Source organism: Homo sapiens, chromosome 5, assembly GCF_000001405.40.
Source record: "Homo sapiens chromosome 5, GRCh38.p14 Primary Assembly".
In the NCBI taxonomy this organism is placed as follows: domain Eukaryota; kingdom Metazoa; phylum Chordata; class Mammalia; order Primates; family Hominidae; genus Homo; species Homo sapiens.
In genome coordinates, this window is record NC_000005.10 from 180406775 (window position 1) to 180429914 (window position 23140).

Here is a 23140-nt window from a genome sequence, read left to right on the forward strand (position 1 = left end):
AAGCCGAGATACAGAAACAATCTAAGTGCCACTAATGGATGGATGAATGTGAAATATATGAATTCTATAAAGAAAATATGGCACATACACACATATACACACATACAGTGGAATATTAATCAGCCATAAAGAGGAAAGAAATCCTGTGATTTGTAACAACATGAATGAACCTGGAGGACATTGTGCTAAGTGAAATAAGCCAGACACAGAAAGACAAATATTGCGGCCGGGCATGGTGGCTAACGCCTGTAATCCCAGCACTTTGGGAGGCCGAGGCGGGCGGATCACAAGGTCAAGAGATTGAGACCAGCCTGGCCAACATGGTGAAACCCCGTCTCTAGTAAAAATACAAAAATTAGCTGGGTGCAGTGGCATGCACCTGTAGTCTCAGCTACTTGGAAGGCTGAGGCAGGATAATGGCTTGAACCCAGGAGGCAGAGGTTGCAGTGAGCCGAGATCACGCCATTGCACTCCAGCCTGGCAACAGAGCAAGACTCCATCTCAAAAAAAAAAAAAAAAAAGAGAGAGAGAGAGAGAAAGAAAGAAAAAAAAAAAGACAAATATTGCATGATTTCACCCATATGTGGAATCTTAAAAAGTCAAACTCAGAGAAGCAGAGAGTAGAACAGTGGTTGCCAGGGGTTGGGAGCAGGGTAAGTGGGGAAAATATCAAGGGCATAAACTTCCAGTCATAAGATGAGTAAGTTCTGAGACTCTAAGGTACAACATAATAGCTATAGTTAATAATACTGTATTGTATACTTGAAATTTGCTAAAAGAGTAGGTCTTAAGTGTTCTTGACACACACACAAACACTCACAAAATAGTAACTATGTGAGGTGATAGATGTGTTAATTAACTTGATTATGGTAATCATTTTGCAATGCATACATATATCAAATCTTACACAGTATGTTTTAAGTGCATACAATCTTTATTTGTCAATTATACGTCAATAAAGCTGGGTGGAGGAGAAACGTGGAGCGGCTATACTAACTTCAGACAGAGCAAACTCCAGAGCAAAAAAAACTCTCAGGGATAAATGGGGCCATTCTATAATGGTAATGACGCCAGTTCAGAAGACACAACAACCCTTAATGTGTAACAACAATGCATACAAAAAACTACTATTGTAGCTGGAGACTTCATCACCCCTCTATCAGAAATAGATCTAGCAGGCAGAAAATGATTAAGGACATAGTTGAACTCAACAGCACCATCAAACAACTGTATATAATTAACATCTATAGACAACTTTAACCAACAATAGCAGAATATTCTTCCCAAGTTCACGTGGAACATTCATTAAATAGACTATATTTTGGGCCATAAAACATACCTTAACACACTTAAAAGAATAGAAATCATGCAATGTATGCTCCCGGACCACAGTGTAATTTTTTTTTTTTTTTTTTTTTTGAGACGGGGTCTCGCTCTGTCGCCCAGGCTGGAGTGCAGTGGTGTGATCTCGGCTCACTGCAACCTCTGCCTCCTGGGTTCAAGCCATTATCCTGCCTCAGCCTCCCGAGTAGCTGGGATTACAGGCACACACCACCACGCCTGGCTAATTTTTGTATTTTTATTAGAGACGGGGTTTCACCATGTTGGCCAGATGGTCTCCATCTCTTGACCTTGTGATTCCCCCCACCTCAACCTCCCAAAGTGCTGGGATTACAGGTGTGAGCCACCATGCCCGGCCCACGATGTAATTAAACTAGAAACCAATAACAGATAGCCAGAAAATCCCAGAATATATGGAGATTAACTCACTTCTAAATAATACATGGGTCAAAATAGGAATCTCAAGAGAAATTTAGGAATATTTTGAGCTAAATGAAACTAAAATATACAACTTAACACTTGTAGGATGCAGTGAAAGCAGTACTTAGAGGGAAATTTATGGCATTCTATGCAAATGTTAGGAAAGAAGAAAGGTATGAAATCAATAATCTAAGCTTCTACCACAGGAAAATAGAAAAAGAGGCACAAATGAAGTTCAAGGTAAACAAAAGAAAAGAAATAATAAGAATTAGAGCAGAAATCGATGAAACTGAAAACAAGAAATCTGCCAGGTATGGTGGCTCATCCCAGCACTTTGGGAGGCTAAGTCAGGAGGATGGCTTGAGCTCAGAAGTTTGAGACCAGCCTAGGAAACATGGCAAAACCTCGTCTCTACCAAAAATACAAAAATTAGCCTGTCATGTTGGTGTGTGCCTATAGTCCCAGCTGCTCAGGAAGCTGAGGTGGGAGGATGCTTTGCACCTGGGAAGCAAAGGTTGCAGTGAACCAAGATCACGCCACCGCACTCCAGCCTGCATGACAGAGCCAGGCCTCGTCTCAAAAAAAAAAAAAAAAAAAAAAAAAAAAACAAGAAAAAAGAAAACAGAAAATCAGTAGAGAAAATGAGCTGGTTCTTTGAGGAGATCAGTAAAATTTATTCGTATCTTGCCATGCTATTAAGGAAAAAAGAAAAAAGACACAAATTACTAATATTAGAAATGAAAGAGTGGCTGGGCATGCTTGCTCACACCTGTAATCCCAGCATTTTAGGAGGCCTAGGTTGGGGGTTCACCTGAGGTCAGGAGTTTGAGACTAGCCAGGCCAACATGGTGAAACCCTGTCTCTACAAAAAATACAAAAATTAGCTGCATGTGGTGGCATGCGCCTGTTAATCCCAGCTATTCGGGAGGCTGAGGCAGGAGAATGGCTTGAACCTGGGAGGCGGAAGTTGCAGCGAGCTGAGATCACACCGTTGCACTCCAGAAATGAAAGAGGGACATCACTATAGGCCCCATAGACATTAAAAGGATAATACAGGAATACTATAAACAATTCTATGCCCACAAATAACCTAGATGACATGGACCAATTCCTTGAAAGACACAATCTGCCAAAACTTACACAAGAAAAAATAGACTATCTGAATACTCCTATATCAGTTAAAGAAATTGATTCACCCTCAAACCCGGGAGGCGGAGATTGCAGTGAGCCAAGATTGCATCACTGTACTCCAGCCTGGGCGACAGAACAAGACTCTGACTCAAAAATAAAGAAAAAAATAAAAGAAAGGACTGTGCTAGATGGTGAATTCTACCAAACATTTAGAGAAGAAATTAAAATTCTCTCCAATCTCTTCCAGAAGTTAGAAGCAGAGGGAATACTTCTGAACTCACTCTGTGAGGCCAGTATTACCCTAATCCCAAAAGCAGACAAAGGCATTATAAGAAAATAAAATGGCAGACCAATATCTCTCATAAACATGTATGAAAAAATCCTCAACAAAATACTAGCAAATAGAATCCTACAATCTGTAAAAACAATTATAAACACTGACCAAGTATGTGAGACTAATTGAATATTCAAAAACCAATTAATGTAATGTAACTCATTACATCAACAGACAAAAGAAGAAAAATCATATGGTCATCTTAGTAACTGCGATAAAAAGCATCTTCCTCAACTTGATGAAGAACATCTACCAAAAACCTGCAGCTAACATCATCCTTATGGAAAGAAGCTACAAGTTTTCCCATTAAGATCAGGAACAAGGGCTGGGCACGTGGCTTATGCCTATAACCCCAATAGTTTGGGAAGCCAAGGTGGGTGGATCACCTGAAGCCAGGAGTTTGAGACCAGCCTGGCCAACATGAGGAAAACCCGTCTCTACTAAAAAAACAAAAATTAGCCAGGCGAGGTGGTGCACACCTGTAATCCCAGCTACTCAGGAGGCTGAGGCACGAGGATCATTTGAACCCAGGAGGCGGAGGTTGCAGTGAGCTGAGTTCACGCCACTGCACTGCTGCCTGGGTAACAAAGTGAGACTGTGTCTAAAAAAAAAAAAAATTGGGAACAAGGCAAAGATGTCCCCTCACCTTTTCTTTTCAATATCATACTGGAAGTTCTTGTTAATCCAATAAGACAATAATAGGAACTAAAAGGAATATGGATTGGGAAGGAAGACAAAACTGTCTTTGTTCACAGATGACATGATTTTCTATGTATAAAGTCTAAAAGAACAAACAACAAAAAAACCTCCTGGAAATTATAAGAGATTATAGCAAGGCTTCAGGATACAAGGTAAATATATAAAAGTTAATTCCTTCCTTATATATGAGCAATGAACAAGTGGAATTTGAAAGGAAAAACATACTATTTTAATTAGCACCCAAAAGAATGTAATACTTAGATATAAATCTAATAAAACATGTACAGGATCTATATGAGGAAAACTGCAAAACTCTAAGGAAAGAAATAAAAGAACTAAATAAATGGAGAGATAGTCCATGTTCATGGACAGAAAGATTCAATATTGTCAAGATGTCAGGTGTCTTAGTCTGTTCAGGCTACTATAACAAAATACCTTAAACTGGGTATTGTATAAATAGCAGAATTTATTGCTGACAGTTCTGGAGACTGGGAAATCCAAGATCAAGGCACCAGCAGATTTGGTGTTTGGTGAGGGCCTGTTCTTCACAGATGGCACCTTCTCATATACCCTCATATGGCAGAATGGGCAAACAAGCCTTATAAAAGGAGCTATAACCTCTTTTATAAGGATATTAATCCCATTCATAAGGGCAGAGCCCTTGTGACTTAATCACCTCCAAAGGCCACACATTTTAGTATGATTGCATTGAGGATTAGGTATCAATATATGAATTTTGTGGGGACACAAACATTTAAACCATAACATCAGTTCTTCTCAACTTGAGCTATAGGTTAAATGCAATCATAACGAAATTCCCAGCAGGTTATTTTGTGAATATCTATGAATTGATTCTAAAGTTTATGTAGAGAGGCAAGAAGACCCAGAGCCATCAACACAATATTGAAGGAGAAGAATAAAGTTGGGGGACTGACACTACTTGATTTCAGGATTACTTTAAAGCTACAGCCATCAAGACAGTAAGGTATTGATGACAGAACAGACAAATAGATGAATGGAAGGGAGTAGAGAGCCCAGACAGAAATAGACCCACACAAATATAGTCAACTAATATTTGACAAAGGAGCAAAGGCAATCCTATGGAGCAAAGATAGCCTTCATCAAATGGTGATGGGCATCTATGTTAGTTCGTTCTCACACTGCTGATAAAGACATACATGAGACTGGGTAATTTATAAAGGAAAGAGATTTAATTGACTCACAGTTCAGCATGGCTGGAGAGGCCTCAGGAACCTTACAATCATGGTGGAAGAGGAAGCAAACACGTCCTTCTTAACATGACGGCAGCAAGGGGAAGTGCAGAGCAAAAGGGGAAAAGGCTTCTTATAAAACCATTAGATTTTGTGAGAACTCACTCATTATCATGAGAACAGCATGAGAGTAACCACCCCTATGATTAAACTACCTCCTACCGGGTCCCTCCCATAACACGTAGGGATTATGAGAACTGCAATTCAAGATGAGATCTGGGTGGGGCCACAGCCAAACCATATCAGCATCTATGTTGCCGGCGGGGCGGGGCGGGGCGGGCGTGGGGGGTGAATAATCTGGAGACAATTCTTACATCCTTTGCATCCTTCACAGAAATTAACTCAAAATAGGTCACAGTCTTAAATAATATGCAAAACTATAAAACTCCTAGAAGATAACATAGGAAAAAACCTAGATGACTTTTCAGATGCAATACAAAAGGCATGATCTGTGAAGGAAGAAATTGGTCAGCTGGACTTCATTAAAAATAAAAACGTGGGGCCGGGCGCGGTGGCTCACGCCTGTAATCCCAGCACTTTGGGAGGCTGAGGCGGGCGGATCACGAGGTCAGGAGATCGAGACCATCCTGGCTAACACAGTGAAACCCCGTCTCTACTAAAAACACACAAAAAATTAGCCGGGCGTGGTGGCGGGGGCCTGTAGTCCCAGCTACTCGGGAGGCTGAGGCAGGAGAATGGTGTGAACCCGGGAGGTGGAGCTTGCAGTGAGCGGAGATGGCACCACTGTGCTCCAGCCTGGGCGACAGAGCGAGACTCCGTCTCAACAACAACAAAAAAAAAGAAAAAGAAAAGAAAGATGTTAATAGCAGAGGAGCTGTGCAGAGGGGTGGGTGGCAATGGTGCAGGGGATATATAGGAATTCTCTGTACTTTCTATTCAATTTTGCTGTGAGCCTAAAACTTCTCTTGAAAAATAGTCTATTTTTAGCCGGGTGCCGTGGTTCTTGCCTGTAATCCTAGCACTTTGGGAGGCCGAGGCAGGCGGGTCACCTGAGGTCAGGGAGTTCAAGATTAGCCCGGCCAACATGGTGAAACCCCATCGCTACTAAAATACAAAAATTAGCTGGGCATGATGGTGGCATGCACCTGTAATCCCAGCTACTCGGGAGGCTGAGATGGGAGAATCGCTTGAATCCCGGAGATGGAGGCTGTAGTGAGCCGAGATTGCGCCACTGTACTCCAGCCTGGGCGGCTGAGCGAGACTCCATCTCAAAAAAAAAAAAAAAAAAAAAAAAAGTTTATTTTTAAAAATAATAGGAATTGGGCAGAAAAACAGATCACTAATGCCATTGAGCCAGCCTGAGACTCCTCTCTTCTTTTGTTTCCCTTTGGTATTGCCTGGCCTAGACTCACAGGCTGCCTGAAGCCCAGAAGTAAGTGCTGGATGTGAACAGAAAGAGCTCTAAGAGAAGCCCTTGATGCAAAGAGTGGAGACGGGGGCCCCTAGGTATAACAGAGAGTCGGGGAAATCTACTTGCTTCCATCTCTTCCACCCTGCCCTCCAGGCAGTCTCACAGCGTTGCAGCAACAGTAGCCTCTGGAAGGTACCTGAAACTCTGAGGGAGGAAAACCCTTCCTAACCAGACAGCTGTGGTCCCAAGAGGATAGGGGGACTCCCCACAGCTTTTGTTTTCTGTGTTCTCACACTGCCTGGCTCCACAGGCAGACACAGTGGGAAGAAGTACATGACAGAGCTGGAAAACGAAAGTCCCAACATTCGAGTTAGAAACTCAGGAAGTTTGGGGCGGGGCACGGTGGCTCATGCCTGTAATCCCAGCACTTTGGGAGGCCGAGGCGGGTGGATTGCCTGAGGTCAAGAGTTCAAGACCAGCCATGGCCAACATGGTGAAACCCCGTCTCTACTAAAAATACAAAAAATTAGCTGAGCGTGGTGGCAGGCACCTGTAATCCCAGCTACTTGGGAGGCTGAGGCAGGAGAATCGCTTGAATCCGGGAGGCGGAGGTTGCAGTAAGGCAAGATCCTGCCATTGCACTCCAGCCTGGGTGACAGAGCAAGATTCCGTCTCAAAAAAAAAAAAAAAGAAAAGAAACTCAGGAAGTTTTGGGGTTGGTGGGGTGACTGGATGCAAAAACGTGTTGGAGAGATGACAGAGAGGAAGAAGCTTTAAAAAATCCATCTGATACATATACAATTTTGTCTGAACTCTTGCACTCACCTCTTAGCTGGCCATGTGCATGTATGCATCTGACCCTAAACGTCAGATTGATGGCTTTGAGAGCTAAGCTACAGGGGAGACCACCATTCAGGTCCCAGATTGGCCACTGGGTGCCGCACAGGCAGGACAAATATAAATACCACTGCGAAGGCTTTGAAAAGTAAACTGAGATTGGAATCACAGTACTCAGAAAGCAGGGAAGCACCTGATTGCTAAAACAAGCAAACAAATCTCAACATTCTCCATTAGAGCTAAACGAGACTTAGAGTTCCAGAATGTAATATTCAAAATGTCCAGGACACAAGAGTGCTCAATATATGAAGAACTGGGCAAATCTTGACAACTCTCAAGGGAAAAGACAGTCAACAGATGCCAACCCAGAGATGACACAGATGCTATTAGAAGAAGATTTTAAAGCAACTATCACAGTCATGTTCCAGGAAGTTAGGGCAAACAACCCTTTGAAAGGAGTGGAAAGATAGCAATTTTTAGCAGAGAAATAGAAGATATTAAAAAGAACCCAATGGGAATTTTAAAACTTAAAAAAACTATAACCAGGCCTGGTGTGGTGGCTCACACTTATAATCCCAGTGCTTTGGGAGACTGAAGCAGGAGGATCTCTTGAGGCCAGGAATTTGAGAGCAGCCTGGGCAACATAGTAAGACCTCATGTCTACAAAAAATTTAAAAATTAGCCAGATGTGATGGTGTGCACCTGTAGTCCTAGCCACTTGGGAGGCTGAGGTGGGAGGCTCACTCCAGCCCAGGAGTTCAAGGCTGCAGTGAGCTATGATTGGGCCACTGTACTCAGCCTGGGTGACAGAGGAAGACCCTGTCTGTAGTAATAATAATAGACTGGGGAAGAAAATTACTGAACTTGAAGACAGAGCAAACTAAATTACTAAAATGACTGGATGACTACAGAGAACAAAAATGTAGAAAAAAATGAACACAGCCTCAAGCCTGTGAGATATATCAAAGGGCCCAATATTCATGTCATCATAATTCCAAAAGAAAAGGTGAAATAATGAAAAGGAGTGTGAAAAAATTTTTGAAAAAGAATGACTGAAAACTCCCCAAATTTGGCAAAAAAAAAAAACACCCATAAACTTACAAATGTAAGAAGCTAAGTAAAACACAAACAGGATAAACTTAAAGAAATCCATGCCCACACATATCATGTACTGAAACTAATGATAAAGAAATATATCTTTAAAATAGAAAAAAAGGACACACTATAAATATGGAAACATCCATTCAAATAACTGCGGATTTCTGTTTTTGTTTTTGTTTTTGTTTTTGTTTGAGATGGAGTCTCACTGTTCTCGCCCGAGCCGGAATGAGATGGTGGGATCTCGGCTCACTGAAACCTCTGCCTCCTAGATTCCAGCAATTCTCCTGCCTCAGCCTCTCAAGTAGCTGAGATTATAGGTGCCCGCCACCACGCCCAGCTAATTTTTGTATTTTTAGTAGAGACGGAGTTTCACCATGTTGGCCAGGCTGGTCTCGAACTCCTGACTTTCATACACGTCCGTGTGAAGAGACCACCAAACAGGCTTTGTGTGAGCAATAAAGCTGTTTATTTCACCTGGGTGCAGGTGGGCTGAGTCCGAAAAGAGAGTCAGCGAAGGGAGATAGGGGTGGGGCCATTTTATAGGATTTGGGAAGGTAATGGAAAATTACAGTCAAAGGGGGTTGTTCTCTGGTGGGCAGGGGTGGATCTCACCAAGTACATTCTCAAGGGTGGGGAGAATTACAAAGAACCTTCTTAAGGGTGGGGGAGACTACAAAGTACCTTCTTAAGGGTGGGGGAGATTACAAAGTACATTGATCAGTTAGGGTGGGGCAGGAACAAATCACAATGGTGGAATGTCATCAGTTAAGGCTGTTTTTACTTCTTTTGTGGATCTTCAGTTACTTCAGGCCATCTGGATGTATACCTGCAAGTCACAGGGGATGCGATGGCCTGGCCTGGGCTCAGAGGCCTGACATTCCTGCCTTCTTATATTAATAAGACAAATAAAACAAAATAGTGTTGAAGTGTTGGAGCGGCGAAAATTTTTGGGGGGTGGTATGGAGAGAGAATGGGCGATGTTTCTCAGGGCTGCTTCGAGCGGGATTAGGGGCGGCGTGGGAACCTAGAGTGGGAGAGATTAAGCTGAAGGGAGGTCTTGTGGTAAGGGGTGACATTGTGGGGATGTTAGAAGAAACGTTTGTCGTATAGAATGATTGGTGATGGCCTGGATACGGTTTTGGATGAATTGAGAAGCTAAACGGAAGATACAAGGTCCAAATAAAAGGAGGAGAAAAATGGGTATTAAAGGACTAAGAATTGGGAGGACCCAGGACATCCAATTAGAGAGTGCCCAAGGGGGTTCAGCATAATTACTTGCTTGGTTGGCAAGTTTTTGGGCTCTATCCTTGAGTTTTTTTATGTTGTCATACACCAGGCCAGATTGATTTAGGTAAAAACAACACTCCTCATTTAAGAATATGCAGAGTCCTCCTTTCTCAGCAGTAAGTCAGTCAAGGCCTCGGCGGTTTTGGAGGACAACTGCAGCTAACGAGTCAACTTGGGCCTGGAGGACTGATAAAGTTTGTGATTTTGAGGGCCTCTAAAAGTATTAAAGCAGCAGCAGCCGCTGCACGCAGACATGAGGGCTAGGCTAAAACAGTAAGGTCAAGTTGTTTGGACAGAAAGGCTACAGAGTGTGGTCCTGGCTCTTGTGTAAGAATTCTGACCACGCTAACCATGCCTAGGAAGGAAAGGAGTTGTTGTTTTGTAGAAGGTGCTGGGGTTTGAGAGATCAGTCGGACACGATTGGCAGGGAAAGCACGTGTGTTTTTGTGAGAATTATGCCGAGATAAGTAACAGATGAGGAAGAAATTTGGGCTTGATTGAAGTAATGGGGGCTGTCTGTGAAGCTTTGCAGCAGTACAGCCTTGGTAATTTGCTGAGCCTAATGGGTGTCAGGGTCAGTCTAAGTGAAAGCAAAGAGAGGCTGGGACGAGGGGTGCAGGGGAATAGTGAAAAAAGCATCTTTAAGGTGGAGAACAGAATAGTGAATTGTGGAGGAACGGATTGAGGACAAAAGAGTGTACGGGTTGGGCACCACAGGGTGGATGGCAAAACAATTTGGTTGATAGGACGCAGATCCTGAACTAATCTGTAAGACTTATCCAGTTTTTGGACAGGTAAAATGGGGGAATTGTAAGGAGAGTTTATAGGTTTTAGAAGCCCATGCTGTAGCAGGCGAGTGGTAACAGGCTTTAATCCTTTTAAAGCATGCTGTGGGATGGGATATGGGCGTTGAGCGGGGTGAGGGTGATTAGGTTTTAATGGGATGGTAATGGGCATGTGATCAGTTGCCAGGGAAGGAGTAGAGATGTCCCATACTTGTGGGTTAAGGTTGGGGGATATGAGAGGAAGATGCGAAGGAGGCTTTGGGTTGGGGAGAAGGGCGGCAATGAGATGCGGCTGTAATCCAGGAATAGTCAGGGAAGCATACAATTTGGTTAAAATATCTCGGCCTGATAAGGGAACTGGGCAGGTGGGGATAACTAAAAAAGAGTGCATAAAAGAGTGTTGTCCAAGTTGGCACAAGAGTGGGGGAGTTTTCAGGGGTTTTGAAGCTTGGCCGTCAATACCCACAACAGTTATGGAGGCAGGGAAACAGGCCTTGAAAAGAAGGTAATGTGGAGTGGGTAGACTCCATATTGATTAAGAAGGGGACGGACTTACCTTCCACTGTGAGAGTTACCCAAAGCTCGGTGTCCGTGATGGTCTAGGGGGCTTCCGAGGCGATCGGGCAGTGTCAGTCTTCAGCCGCTAAGCCGAGAAGATCTGGGAAGGAGTCAGTCAGAGAGCCTTGGGCCGGAGTTCCAGGGGCTCTGGGAGTGGCTGCCAGGTGAGTTGAACAGTCCGATTTTCAGTGGGGTCCCACACAGATGGGATGCGGCTTAGGAGGAATCCCAGGCTGCGGGCATTCCTTGGCCTGGTGGTCAGATTTCTGGCACTTGTAGCAAGCTCCTGGGGGAGGAGGTTCTGGGGGAACGCCTGGCCGCTGCGGTTCAGGCGTTTGGAAGTTCTTGTGTGCTGGAGATGTGGCTGGGGTTTGTCTCACCGTGGAGGCAAGGAATTGCAACTTTTTTCTATTATGGTACACCTTGAAGGCGAGGTTAATTAAATCGTGTTGTGGGGTTTGAGGGCTGGAATTTAATTTTTGGAGTTTTATTTAATGTCGGGAACAGATTGGGTAATAAAATGTATATTGAGAATAAGACGGCCTTTTGACCTTTTAGGGTCTAGGGCTGTAAAGTGTCTCAGGGTTGCTGCCGAGCGAGCCATGAACTGGGCTGGATTTTTATATTTGATGAAAAAGAGCCTAAACGCTATCTGATTTGGGATAAAGAAAAAGGAGCATTAACCTTGACTATGCCTTTGGCTCCAGCCACCTTTTTAAGAGTAAATTGCTGGGCAGGTGGGGGAGGGCTAGTCACGGAACGAAACTGTAAGCCAGAGCAGGTGTGAGGAGGGGAGGCGATGAAAAGATTATAGGGTGCAGGAGCGGAGGCTGAGGAAGAATTGGGACCTAGCTCGGCCTGGTGAGGAGCAGCCTGGGGAGGAAGGGAGAGGTCAGATGGGTCTGTAGAAAAGGAACATTAGAAAGACTCAGCGACGCTTGGGGTTGGGACTGAGGGGACAGGCGGGAGGGAAAGAAGGAAGATTTGGGACGAGTTGCATTGGGCACAGAGACTAGGAAGGGACTGATGTGTAAAAGAATGCCTGGACGTCAGGCACCTCAGACCGTTTGCCCATTTTACGACGAGAATTATTTAGATCTTGTAGGATGGAAAAATTGAAAGTGCCGTTTTCCAGCTATTTGGAACTACTGTCGAGCTTGTATTGGAGTCAAGCGGCATTGCAGAAGAAAATAAGGCATTTAGGTTTTAGGTCAGGTGTGAGTGGAAGAGGTTTTAAGTTTTTGAGAACACAGGCTAAAGGAGAAGAAGGAGGAATGGAAGGTGGAAGCTTACCCATAGTGAAGGAGGCAAGCCCAGAGAAAAGAGTAGAGACACGGAGAAGGAGGGGGGGGGTTCTTGCCCTCCAGAAAAGCAGAGAAGGGGTTGGGGCACGGAAATAAGGGATTGGGGCACAGAGATAAGAGGTCAGGGTGCGGAAATAAGGGATTGGGGCACAGAGATAAGAGGTTGGGGTGCAGAAATAAGCGATTGGGGGTTTCTTGCCCCCTAGGAAAGCGGGACTTGCCGCTAAGGGCGAAGGAGAAGGGGTTGAGGGGTACTTGCCCCTGCCCCAGGAAAGCAGAGAAGGGGTAGAGACAAGGAGAGAAGGGGTTGGGGTACTTGCCCCTTCCCCAGAAAAGCAGAGAAGGGGTAGAGACAAGGAGAGAAGGGGTTGGGGTACTTGCCCCTTCCCCAGAAAAGCGGGACTTGCCGCTAAGGGTGAAGGACCAAGGCAGGCGTCCCTGCGTGGTCTGACACCCTTGAAACGTGAGTGTATAATCAGAGAGGTGTCCCTGCAATGATTAAACACCAAGGGAAGGCTGCCTTCCCAGTCCGTGACCGGCGCCGGAGTTTTGGGTCCACGGATAAAACGTGTCTCTTTTGTCTCTACCAGAAAATGAAAGGAATTGAAATTAAGAGAAGGGAGAGATTGAAGTGTAGCACCAAGATTGAAAGGAGAAAGAGGCTGAGGGATAGTGAGGGAGATTGGAGAAGAGAGTAAAAGGCTGCTTACCAGATTTGAAATTGGTGAGATGTTTCTTGGGCTGGTCGGTTTGAGAACCTGAGGTCATAGGTGGATCTTTCTCACGGAGCAAAGAGCAGGAGGACAGGGGATTGATCTCCCAAGGGAGGTCCCCTGATCTGAGTCACGGCACCAAATTTCATGCGCATCCGTGTGAAGAGACCACCAAACAGGCTTTGTGTGAGCAACATGGCTGTTTATTTCACCTGGGCGCAGGCGGGCTGAGTCCGAAAAGAGAGTCAGCGAAGGGAGATAGGGGTGGGGCCGTTTTATAGGATTTGGGAAGGTAATGGAAAATTACAGTCAAAGGGGGTTGTTCTCTGGTGGGCAGGGGTGGATCTCACCAAGTACATTCTCAAGGGTGGGGAGAATTACAAAGAACCTTCTTAAGGGTGGGGGAGATTACAAAGTACATTGATCAGTTAGGGTGGGGCAGGAACAAATCACAATGGTGGAATGTCATCAGTTAAGGCTGTTTTTACTTCTTTTGTGGATCTTCAGTTACTTCAGGCCATCTGGATGTATACCTGCAAGTCACAGGGGATGCGATGGCCTGGCCTGGGCTCAGAGGCCTGACACTGACCTCAGGTGATCCACCCGCCTCAGCCTCCCAAAGTGCTGGGATTACAGGAGTGAGCCACCGCACCTGGCCTATAACTGCGGATTTCACATCAGAAACCATGGCACACAGAAGAGAATGGAAGACTATTGTTAAATTGTGGGAAGGAAAGAATGGTTCAATATGGAATTTCAGATCTAGTAAAAATATTCTCCAGGAATGAGGTGAAATAAAGACATTCTCAGAGGAAGAGAAACTAAGATAATTTGTCACTGGTACCCTACCTTTCAAAGATTTTAGAGGAATTTTTTTGAGACGGAAGGGGAATTATATAAAAAGGAAACTTGAAACAGGAGGAATAAAGGAAGAAGAACATTTACCTATGTATGGGTAAATACATAGGCTATTCTTCTATTAGGTCCTTTAAAATACTTTAAAACATGTTTGATGTTAAAAATAAAAAAGTGTCCAGGCACGGTGGCTCACACCTGTAATCCCAGCACTTTGGGAGGCCGAGACAGGTGGATCACCTGAGGTCAGGAGTTCAAGACCAGCCTGGCCAACATGACGAAACCCTGTCTCTACTAAAAAATAAAAATAAATAAATAAAATTTTGCTAGGAGTGGTGGCGGGCGCCTACCACTCAGCGGGAGGCTGAGGCAGGAAAATCGCTTGAATCCAGGAGGTGGAGGTTGCAGTGAGCCAAGATCGCACCACTGCACTCCAGCCTGAGCAACAGAGAGAGACTCCGTCTCAAAAAATAAATAAAGAAATAATAAAAAACTATAAGTAGTGCTGCAGTAAACATATTGTTTCATGCGTCCGTGTGAAGAGACCACCAAACAGGCTTTGTGTCAGCAACAAGGCTGTTTATTTCACCTGGGTGCAGGCGGGCTGAGTCCGAAAAGGGTCAGCAAAGGGTGGTGGATTATCATGGTTCTTATAGGTTTTGGGATAGGCGGTGGTGTTAGGAGCAATGTTTTGCAGGCAGGGGGTGGATCTCACAAAGTACATTCTCAAGGGTGGGGAGAATTACAAAGAACCTTCTTAAGGGTGGGGGAGATTACCAAGTACATTGATCAGTTAGGTTGGGACAGAAACAAATCACAATGGTGGAATGTCATCAGTTAAGGCTATTTTCACTTCTTTTGTGGATCTTCAGTTGCTTCAGGCCATCTGGATGTATAGGTGCCGGTCACAGGGGATATGATGGCTTAGCCTGGGCTCAGAGGCCTGACACACATGTGTGCAAGTGTCTTCATAACAGAATGATTTATAATCCTTTGGGTATATACCCAGTAATGGGATCGCTGGGTCAAATGGTAATCCTGGAACTTAAAGTAAAATACCAAGTAATAAATAAATAATATATAAATAATAAAATAGAAATAATAAATAACATATAAATAATAAATAAACTATAGCATTACCTGGTGGGGCTCCTAATGCAAATAGATACAACACATAAGACAACTACGGTGTAAAAGGAGAGGGTGTGGTGAAGGTCTTTGTATTCTATTTAAAGTCAAAATGTTGATTCTGAGCAGACAGTGAAAAGTTGTATATACAAATCACAATCCCTAGTGTGATCACTAAAAAACATGCAAAGATACATATCAGAAACAGGCTGGGCGCGGTGGCTCACATCTGTAATCCCAGCACTTTGGCAGGCTGAGGCAGGCAGATCAGGAAGTCAAAAGATCGAGAGCTACTCGGGAGGCTGAGGCAGGAGAATCACTTGAACCTGGGAGGTGGAGGTTGTAGTGAGCCGAGATGGCACCACTACACTCCAGCTTGGCAACAGAGCGAGACTCTGTCTAAATAAATAAATAAATAAAATAAAAAAGATATATGTCAGAAGCATATAGATAAATTAAAATGGAGGCCAGGCGCAGTGGCTCACGCCTGTAATCCCAGCACTTTGGGAGGCCAAGGCAGGTGGATCACCTGAGGTCAGGAGTTCGAGACCAGCCTGACCAACCTGGAGAAACCCCATCTCTACTAAAAATACAAAAATTACCCAGGCGTGGTGGGCACGCCTGTACTTCCGGCTACTCGGGAGGCTGAGGCAGGAGAATTGCTTGAACCTGGGAGGCAGAGGTTGCAGTGAGCCGAGATGGTGCCATTGCACTCCAGCCTGGGTGACAAGACAGAAACTCCATCTCAAAAAAAAAAAATTAAAATGAAATATGAAAAAATTCTCAAATAACTGAAAAGATGGTATCTTCAGGCTGATAACCACACTGTCTGGATCATTGTAAGTTTAAAAGTCCTGAAATCTGGTATGGGTTAGTCCTTCATTGTTCTCAAAAGCTATCTTGGCTGTTGTAGGTCCTTCACATTTCCATAAGAATTTTAGAATCACCTAGTCAATTTTCACTAAATAGCTTCCTGGGATTATGACTGAGATGGCACTGAATCTGTAGATTAACTTTGGTAGAGCAAACATCTTAGCAATAGAGAATCTTCCAGCACATGAGTGAAGTATATCTCCCCATTTATTTAGATAGTCTTTAATTTTTCTCAGATATGGTTTGTAGTGTGAATACACAGGCCTTTCACATATTTTCTCAGATTTGTCATATTTTAATGCTATTTTAAATGATGTTTATCTTTAACTTCAATATCTCATTTTTCAATCCTGATATGTAGAAATATAATTAATTTTGTATATTTATTTCGAACTCTGCAATCTTGCTAAACCCAGTTATGAATTCTAGTAGGGTTTTTTTTTGTTTTGTTTTGTTTGTAGATTTCATCATAGTTTCTCCATAGGGGATCATGCCATCTGTGAATAAAACCATTGTTTTTTTCTTCTTTCCCAATTTGGATGACTTTTATTTCTTTTTTATGCCTGACTGCACTGGCTAGAGCCTCCAGTGCAATCCTGAGTGGAGGTGGTGAGGGTGAATATTTTTGCCACATTCCTGGTTGTAGGAAAAGGTATTTAGCCTTTCAGTATTAATATTATGTTAGCTGGAGGTTTTCCATACGCTCTTTACCAGGTTGAGGAAGCTCCCTAGTTTGCTGAAACTTGTTTTTTATCAGGAGTAGATGTTGGATTTTGTCAAATGCTTTTTCTTTAATTGATTGAGGTGATTATATGATTTTTCTTTTTTAGTTTCTTAATATGGTGTACTAGTTTCCTATGGTAACAGATTACCACAAACTTGGTGTCTTTAAAACACAAAAATTGATTCTCTCATGGTTATGGAGGCTAGAAATCTGAAATCAAGGTGCCAGCTGGGCCATGCTCACTCAAAGCTCCAGGGAAGAACCTGCCTGCTGTTTCCAGCGTCTGGTGGCCCCAGGCCTTCCCTGGGTAATGGTGGCGCAGCGCTGATCTCTGTCTGCCTTCACCTTCACACGGCCCTTCTTGTTTGCCTCTGTGGTCACTTCTCTCCTTACAAGGACACCAGTCATTGGACTTAGGGACCACCCTAAATTCCGGACAGTTTCATCTGAGATCCTTAACTAATTACATCTAAAAAGACTATTTCCAAATAAGGTCACATTCTGAGGTTCTGGGTGGAAATGACCTTTTTTTTTTTTTTTTTTTTTTTGAGACATGGCCTCGCTCTGTTGTCTAGGCTGAAGGGCAGTGGCACGATCACAGCTCACTGCAGCCTCAAAGTCCTGGACTCAGGCAATCCACCTGCCTCAGCCTCCCAGGTAGCCAAGACCACGGGTGCATACCACTACACACAGCTAATTTTTAAATTTTTTGTAGAGGCAGCATCTTACTATGTTTCCCAGGCTCATCTCAAACTCCGGGCTCAAGCGAGCCTCCCACCTCAGGCTCCCAAAGTGCTGGAATTACAGACATGAGTCACTGTGCCCGGCTGACACACAGTTGTTTTTTTTTTTTTTTTTTGAGACAGAGTCTCGTTCTTGTTGCCCAGGCTGGAGTGCAATGGCACAATCTCTGCCCACTGTAATCTGCACCTCCTGGGTTCAAGCAATTCTTCTGCCTCAGCCTCCCTCGGGAGGCTGGGATTATAGGCATGTGCCACTACACCAGCTAATTTTGTATTTTTAGTAGAGATGGGGTTTCTCCATGTTGGTCAGGCTGGTCTCGAACTCCCGACCTCGGGTGATCCACCTGCCTCAGCCTCCCAAAGTGCTGGGATTACAGGCGTGAGCCACTGCGCCCAGCCAACATACATTTTTGAGGGACACTAGTCAACCCACTAAACATGACATATTTTATTCGATTTTTGAATGAATGCTAAGCCAAACTTGCCTTCTTGAGATAAACCCCTATAGGTCATAATGTATTAATCTTTATAAGTTAATCTTTATAAACTTTTCTTTAAAAAATTCATCTATATTCATTAGAGATTTTAGTCCTTAATTTTCTTTTCTTGTAATGTCTTTGGATGATGATAATTATTATTATTTTGAGATGGAGTCTCACTCTGTCTCCCGCGCTGGAGTTCAGTCGCAGTATCTTGGCTCACTGCAAGCTCTGCCTCCTGGGTTCAAGCAATTCTCCTGTCTCGGCCTCCCAAGTAGCTGGGATTACAGGTGCCCGCCACCATGCCCAGCCTTGTCTTCGGTTTTGATATCAGCATAATAGCAGCCTCATAGAAATAGCTGGGAAATATTCTCTTCACTTCAATTTTATGGATTTGTTTGTGTAAAATCGTTATTATTTCTTATTTAAATGTTTGGTAGAATTCCCCAGTGAAAGCACCAGGGCCTGGAGTTTTCTTTGTGGGTGAGTTTGTAACTACGAATTTAATTTCTTTAATAAACAAAGTGCTACTTAAGTTATCTGTTTCTTCTTGAGTCATTTTTAATGTCTGTGGCTTCCAAGGAATTTGTGCATTTAATCTAGGCTTTCAAATTTATAGACAATATGTCTTTCTTTCTTTCTTTTTTTTTTTTCTTTTTTTTTTTTTTTTTGAGATGGAGTCTCACTCTGTTGCCCAGGTGGGAGTGTAATGGTGCTATCTCAGCTCACTGCAACCTCCACCGCCCAGGTTCAAGCAATTCTCCTGTCTCAGCCTCCCGAGTAGCTGGGATTACAGGCACCGACCACCACGCCTGGCTAATTTTTGTATTTTTAGTAGAGACGAGGTTTCACTGTTGGCCAGGCTGCTTTTGACCTCCTGACCTCAGGTGATCCACCCACCTCAGCCTCCCAAAGCCCTGGGATTACAAGCGTGAGCCACTGTGCCCGGCCTATATATATATATAATATATATAATATATAATATATAATGTACATATTATATATAATGTATATATTACTTATAATGTAAATATTATATATATTTTATATATATTTTGAAACTGAGTCTCGCGCTGTCTCCCAGGCTGGAGTGCAGTGTAGCGATCTCGGCTCACCGCAAGCTCCGCCTCCCAGGTTCACACCATTCTCCTGCCTCAGCCTCTCCAAGTAGCTGGGATTACAGGTGCCCGCCACCACGCCCGGCTAATTTTTTGTATTTTTAGTAGAGACGGGGTTTCACTGTGTTAGCCAGGATGGTCTCGATCTCCTGACCTCGTGATCCGCCCGCCTCGGCCTCCCAAAGTGCTGGGATTACAGGTGTGAGCCACCATGCCAGTCCAGGTCTCGATTGTTTTATAATATTACTTCATCATCCTTCAAATACTTGTGGAATTTGTAGTACTATAATCTCTTTCATTTCTGCTCTTGAATTTGTATCCTCTCTTTCATTCTAATCAATTTGGCTAGAAGTTTACCAATTTTATAGGTCTCTCTTTTTTTTGTTTTCAATTTTATTGATTTCCTCTTTGATTCTTTTTTTTTTTTTTTTTTTTTTGAGACGGAGTCTCGCTCTGTCGCCCAGGCTGGAGTGCAGTGGTGCTATCTCTGCAAGCTCTGCCTCCAGGGCTCACGCCATTCTCCTGCCTCAGCCTCCAGAGTAGCTGGGACTACAGGCGCCCGCTATGACGCCCGGCTAATTTTTTGTATTTTTTAGTAGAGACGGGGTTTCACCCTGTTAGCCAGGATGGTCTCGATCTCCTGACCTCGTGATCCACCCGCCTCAGCCTCCCAAAGCCCTGGGATTACAAGCGTGAGCCACTATGCCCGGCATATATATATATATAATATATATATTATATATAATGTATACATATATAATGTATATATCACATATAATGTATATATTATATATAATGTATACATTATATATATATATTTTATATATATTTTGAAACTGAGTCTCGCACTGTCTCCCAGGCTGGAGTGCAGTGTAGCGATCCCGGCTCACCGCAAGCTCCGCCTCCCAGGTTCACACCATTCTCCTGCCTCAGCCTCCCGAGTAGCTGGGACTACAGGCGCCCGCCACCACGCCTGGCTAATTTTTTGTATTTTTAGTAGAGATGGGGTTTCACCGTGTTAGCCAGGATGGTCTCGATCTCCTGACCTCGTGATCCGCCCGCCTCGGCCTTCCAAAGTGCTGGGATTACAGGCGTGAGCCACCGCGCCCGGCTCCTCTTTGATTCTTATATTTCTTCTGCTTGCTTTGCATTGTATTTGTTCTCCTTTTTCTTGTTTCTTATGGTATAATCTGAAGCCATCGATTTGAGATATTTTCTCTTTTCTAATAGAAGCATATAGTGCCATAAATTTCGCACTTCACCTGCATCCCACAAGTTCTGATATTTTGTTTTTTCACTTTCATTCCATTCAGAATAATTACTAATTTGGCTAATTTACTTTTGATTTATTCTTTCACCCATGGGTTATTTAGAATTGTTTAACTGAGTTTTGAAATATTTGAGGATTTCAGAGCTATCTTTCTGTTGCTCATTTTTTTTTTTTAGATGAGGTCTTGCTCTGTCGCCCAGGCTGGAGTACAGTGGAATGATCATGGCTCACTGCAGCCTTGACCTCCTGGGCTCAAGCCATTCTCCCACCTTAGACCCCAGATAGCTGGGACGGCAAGCACACACCACCATGCCCGGATACTTTATTTTTAGTAGAGATGGGGTTTCGCCATGTTGCCCAGGCTCGTCTTGAACTCCTGGACTCAGGCAATCCACCCACCTTGACCTCCCAAAGTGCTAGGATTGCAGGTGTGAGCCACCGCATCTGGCCTCTGTTGTTCAATGTTGCCCAGGCTGGAGTGCAGTGGTGCAATCATAGCTCACTGCAGCCTCAAACTCCTGGGCTCAAGGGATCCTCCTGCTTCAGCCTCCTGAGTAGCTAGGACTGTAGGTGTGCACCAGCGTGCCCGGCTATTTTTTAAATCTTTTTGTAGAGATAAGAGCTTGCTATGTCGCCCAGGCTGGTCTTGAACCCCTGGCCTCAAAAGATCCTCCCACCTTCACCTCCAAACTATTGGGTTTACAGGCATGAGCCACCATGCCTGCCCATCACTTTTATTTTTGAAAAATATTTTCACTATTCCACTGTCTTCTCCAGACAAGAAATCTAGTGTCAGCTTTATCTTTGTTCCTCTGTATAGAAGGATTTCTGGGGCTGCTTTGAAGTTTTTCTCTTTATTACTGGTTTGAAGCTTTGTGATTATGATGTGATTTTTTTCTGGTTTCTTTTGCTTGAGCTTTGTTGAGCTTCCTGCATCTGTGAATTTATTTTTAATTAACTTTGGGAAACTCAGGACCATTATTTCTTCAAGTATTTTTTCTGTTCCTTTTCTTCTCTCTCCTCTCCCTTGATGATTCCAAATTACACACGTATTATGTTGTCTGAAGCCTTCCTACAAATCATTTATGCTCTTTTCATTTTTTAATTTACTTTTTTCTCCTTGTTTTTCAAATTCGCTACCCTTTTTCTCCTAAAATGTTTGACCTGCCCTTAATCCCACTCAGTGTATTTTTCATATTCGGCATTGTAATTTTCATCTCTGGAAGTGCTATGTCCATAACTAACGTACTGAGTGTTGTAATCGGGGCACAGTAACTGTCTTAACGCTCTTGTCTGCTAATTCTAACGTATACGTCGTTCTGGGTAGGTCTTGATTTGATGATTCTTCCCATTAGGAGGCATGCGTTCTGGCTTCTTTGTACACCAGGTGATCTTTGACTGGATGCTAGATACTGTGAATTTCATCTTGTTGGGTGCTGAATATTTTTGTATTCTGTGGGAATTCTTGAACTTTGTTCTAAGACACAGTTAAGTTACTTGGAAACAACTTGATCCTTTCAGATCTTGCTTTTATTACTTGTTATGCAGGTCCAAAGCAACGCCGTCTACGGGTAATTATTCCCTATTATTAAGGCAAGACCTCCCTGAACACTGTACCCAATAGCCCGTGAATTATGAGTTTTTCCTGTAAGCCGGTGAGAACAGTGTTCCCAGCCCTGTTTGGGTTTCAGGCTGTGTCCAGGCCGTGCTCCCTGTAACCCTTCCATGAGGTTCTTGCCCTGGCCATGGGTAGTTTCCGCATATGCGTGTGCTCTGGTGCTTACTCAGGAGGGCCCTGTACAAATCTCCCCAGTTCTCTCTCTGCACAACTCTCTCCTCCCTGGAATTCTGTCCTGTGACCTTTAGTGGCCTTGTTCTCTCTCAACCACATCTCCTCAAGAAGGCTACTGAATCTGCCTCAGTTTCCTTTTCTGCTCCACAGCCTGGAAACCACCTCAAGGCAAGCTGGGGTAATTGCAGGGAACATCTTGTTTGCTTCCCGTCTGTCAGGGATTACTGTCCTACATTGTCCTGTGTCTTGAAAACCATTGTTTCACATATTTTGCCTGGTTTTGTTTATTTGTTGCTGCTGTTTTAGGAAGGAGGGTCAATCCGGTCCCTGTTTATCGATCTTGGCCACAAGTGGAACTCCACGCTATTTGATTTTAAGACCTTATAAAGTTACAGTCATCAAGACAGCACGGTACTGGAGAGGGGGCAGACACATAGATGAATTCAAAGGAATAGAAAGTCTAGAAATTGACCCACACAATTACGGGCAATTTATCTTTTAGAAAGGTGCAAAGACGATTTGACAAAGAATGGATAATATTTTCAACAGTTTTGTTGCAATAATAATGAACCTCAACCCAAACCTCACATTATACAAAAATTAAGTCAAAATGGATCATATATCTAAATATAAAATGAAAACTTAGAAAACTTGAAAGTGTAGGAGAAAACCTTCATGATCTTAGCTTAGGCAGAGTTCTCAGATACAATACCAAAAGCATGACTCACAAAAGTAAAACTTAATAGAGCCAGGTGTGGTGGCTCATGTCTGTAATCTTAGCACTTTGGGGAGGCTGAGGCGGGTGGATCACTTGAGGTCAGGAGTTCAAGACCAGCCTGGCCAACATGGTGAAATCCCGTCTCTACTAAAAATGCAAAAATTAGCCGGTTGTGGTGGCGGGCGCCTGTAATCCCTGCTACTCAGGAGGCTGAAGTGGGAGAATCGCTTGAACTGGGGAGGTGGAAGTGGCAGTGAGCCAAGATTGCACCACTGCACTACAGCCTG

At 43.7% G+C, this 23140-nt stretch overlaps 1 annotated feature.

The window, feature by feature from the left end:
* Positions 17067-17566: an enhancer, noted in NCBI's record as "H3K4me1 hESC enhancer chr5:179850841-179851340 (GRCh37/hg19 assembly coordinates)". NCBI's record gives its function as "activates a minimal SCP1, AML or CMV promoter by ChIP-STARR-seq in primed H9 embryonic stem cells {active_cell/tissue: H9 hESC(primed)}" and the evidence as "EXISTENCE:reporter gene assay evidence [ECO:0000049][PMID:30033119]".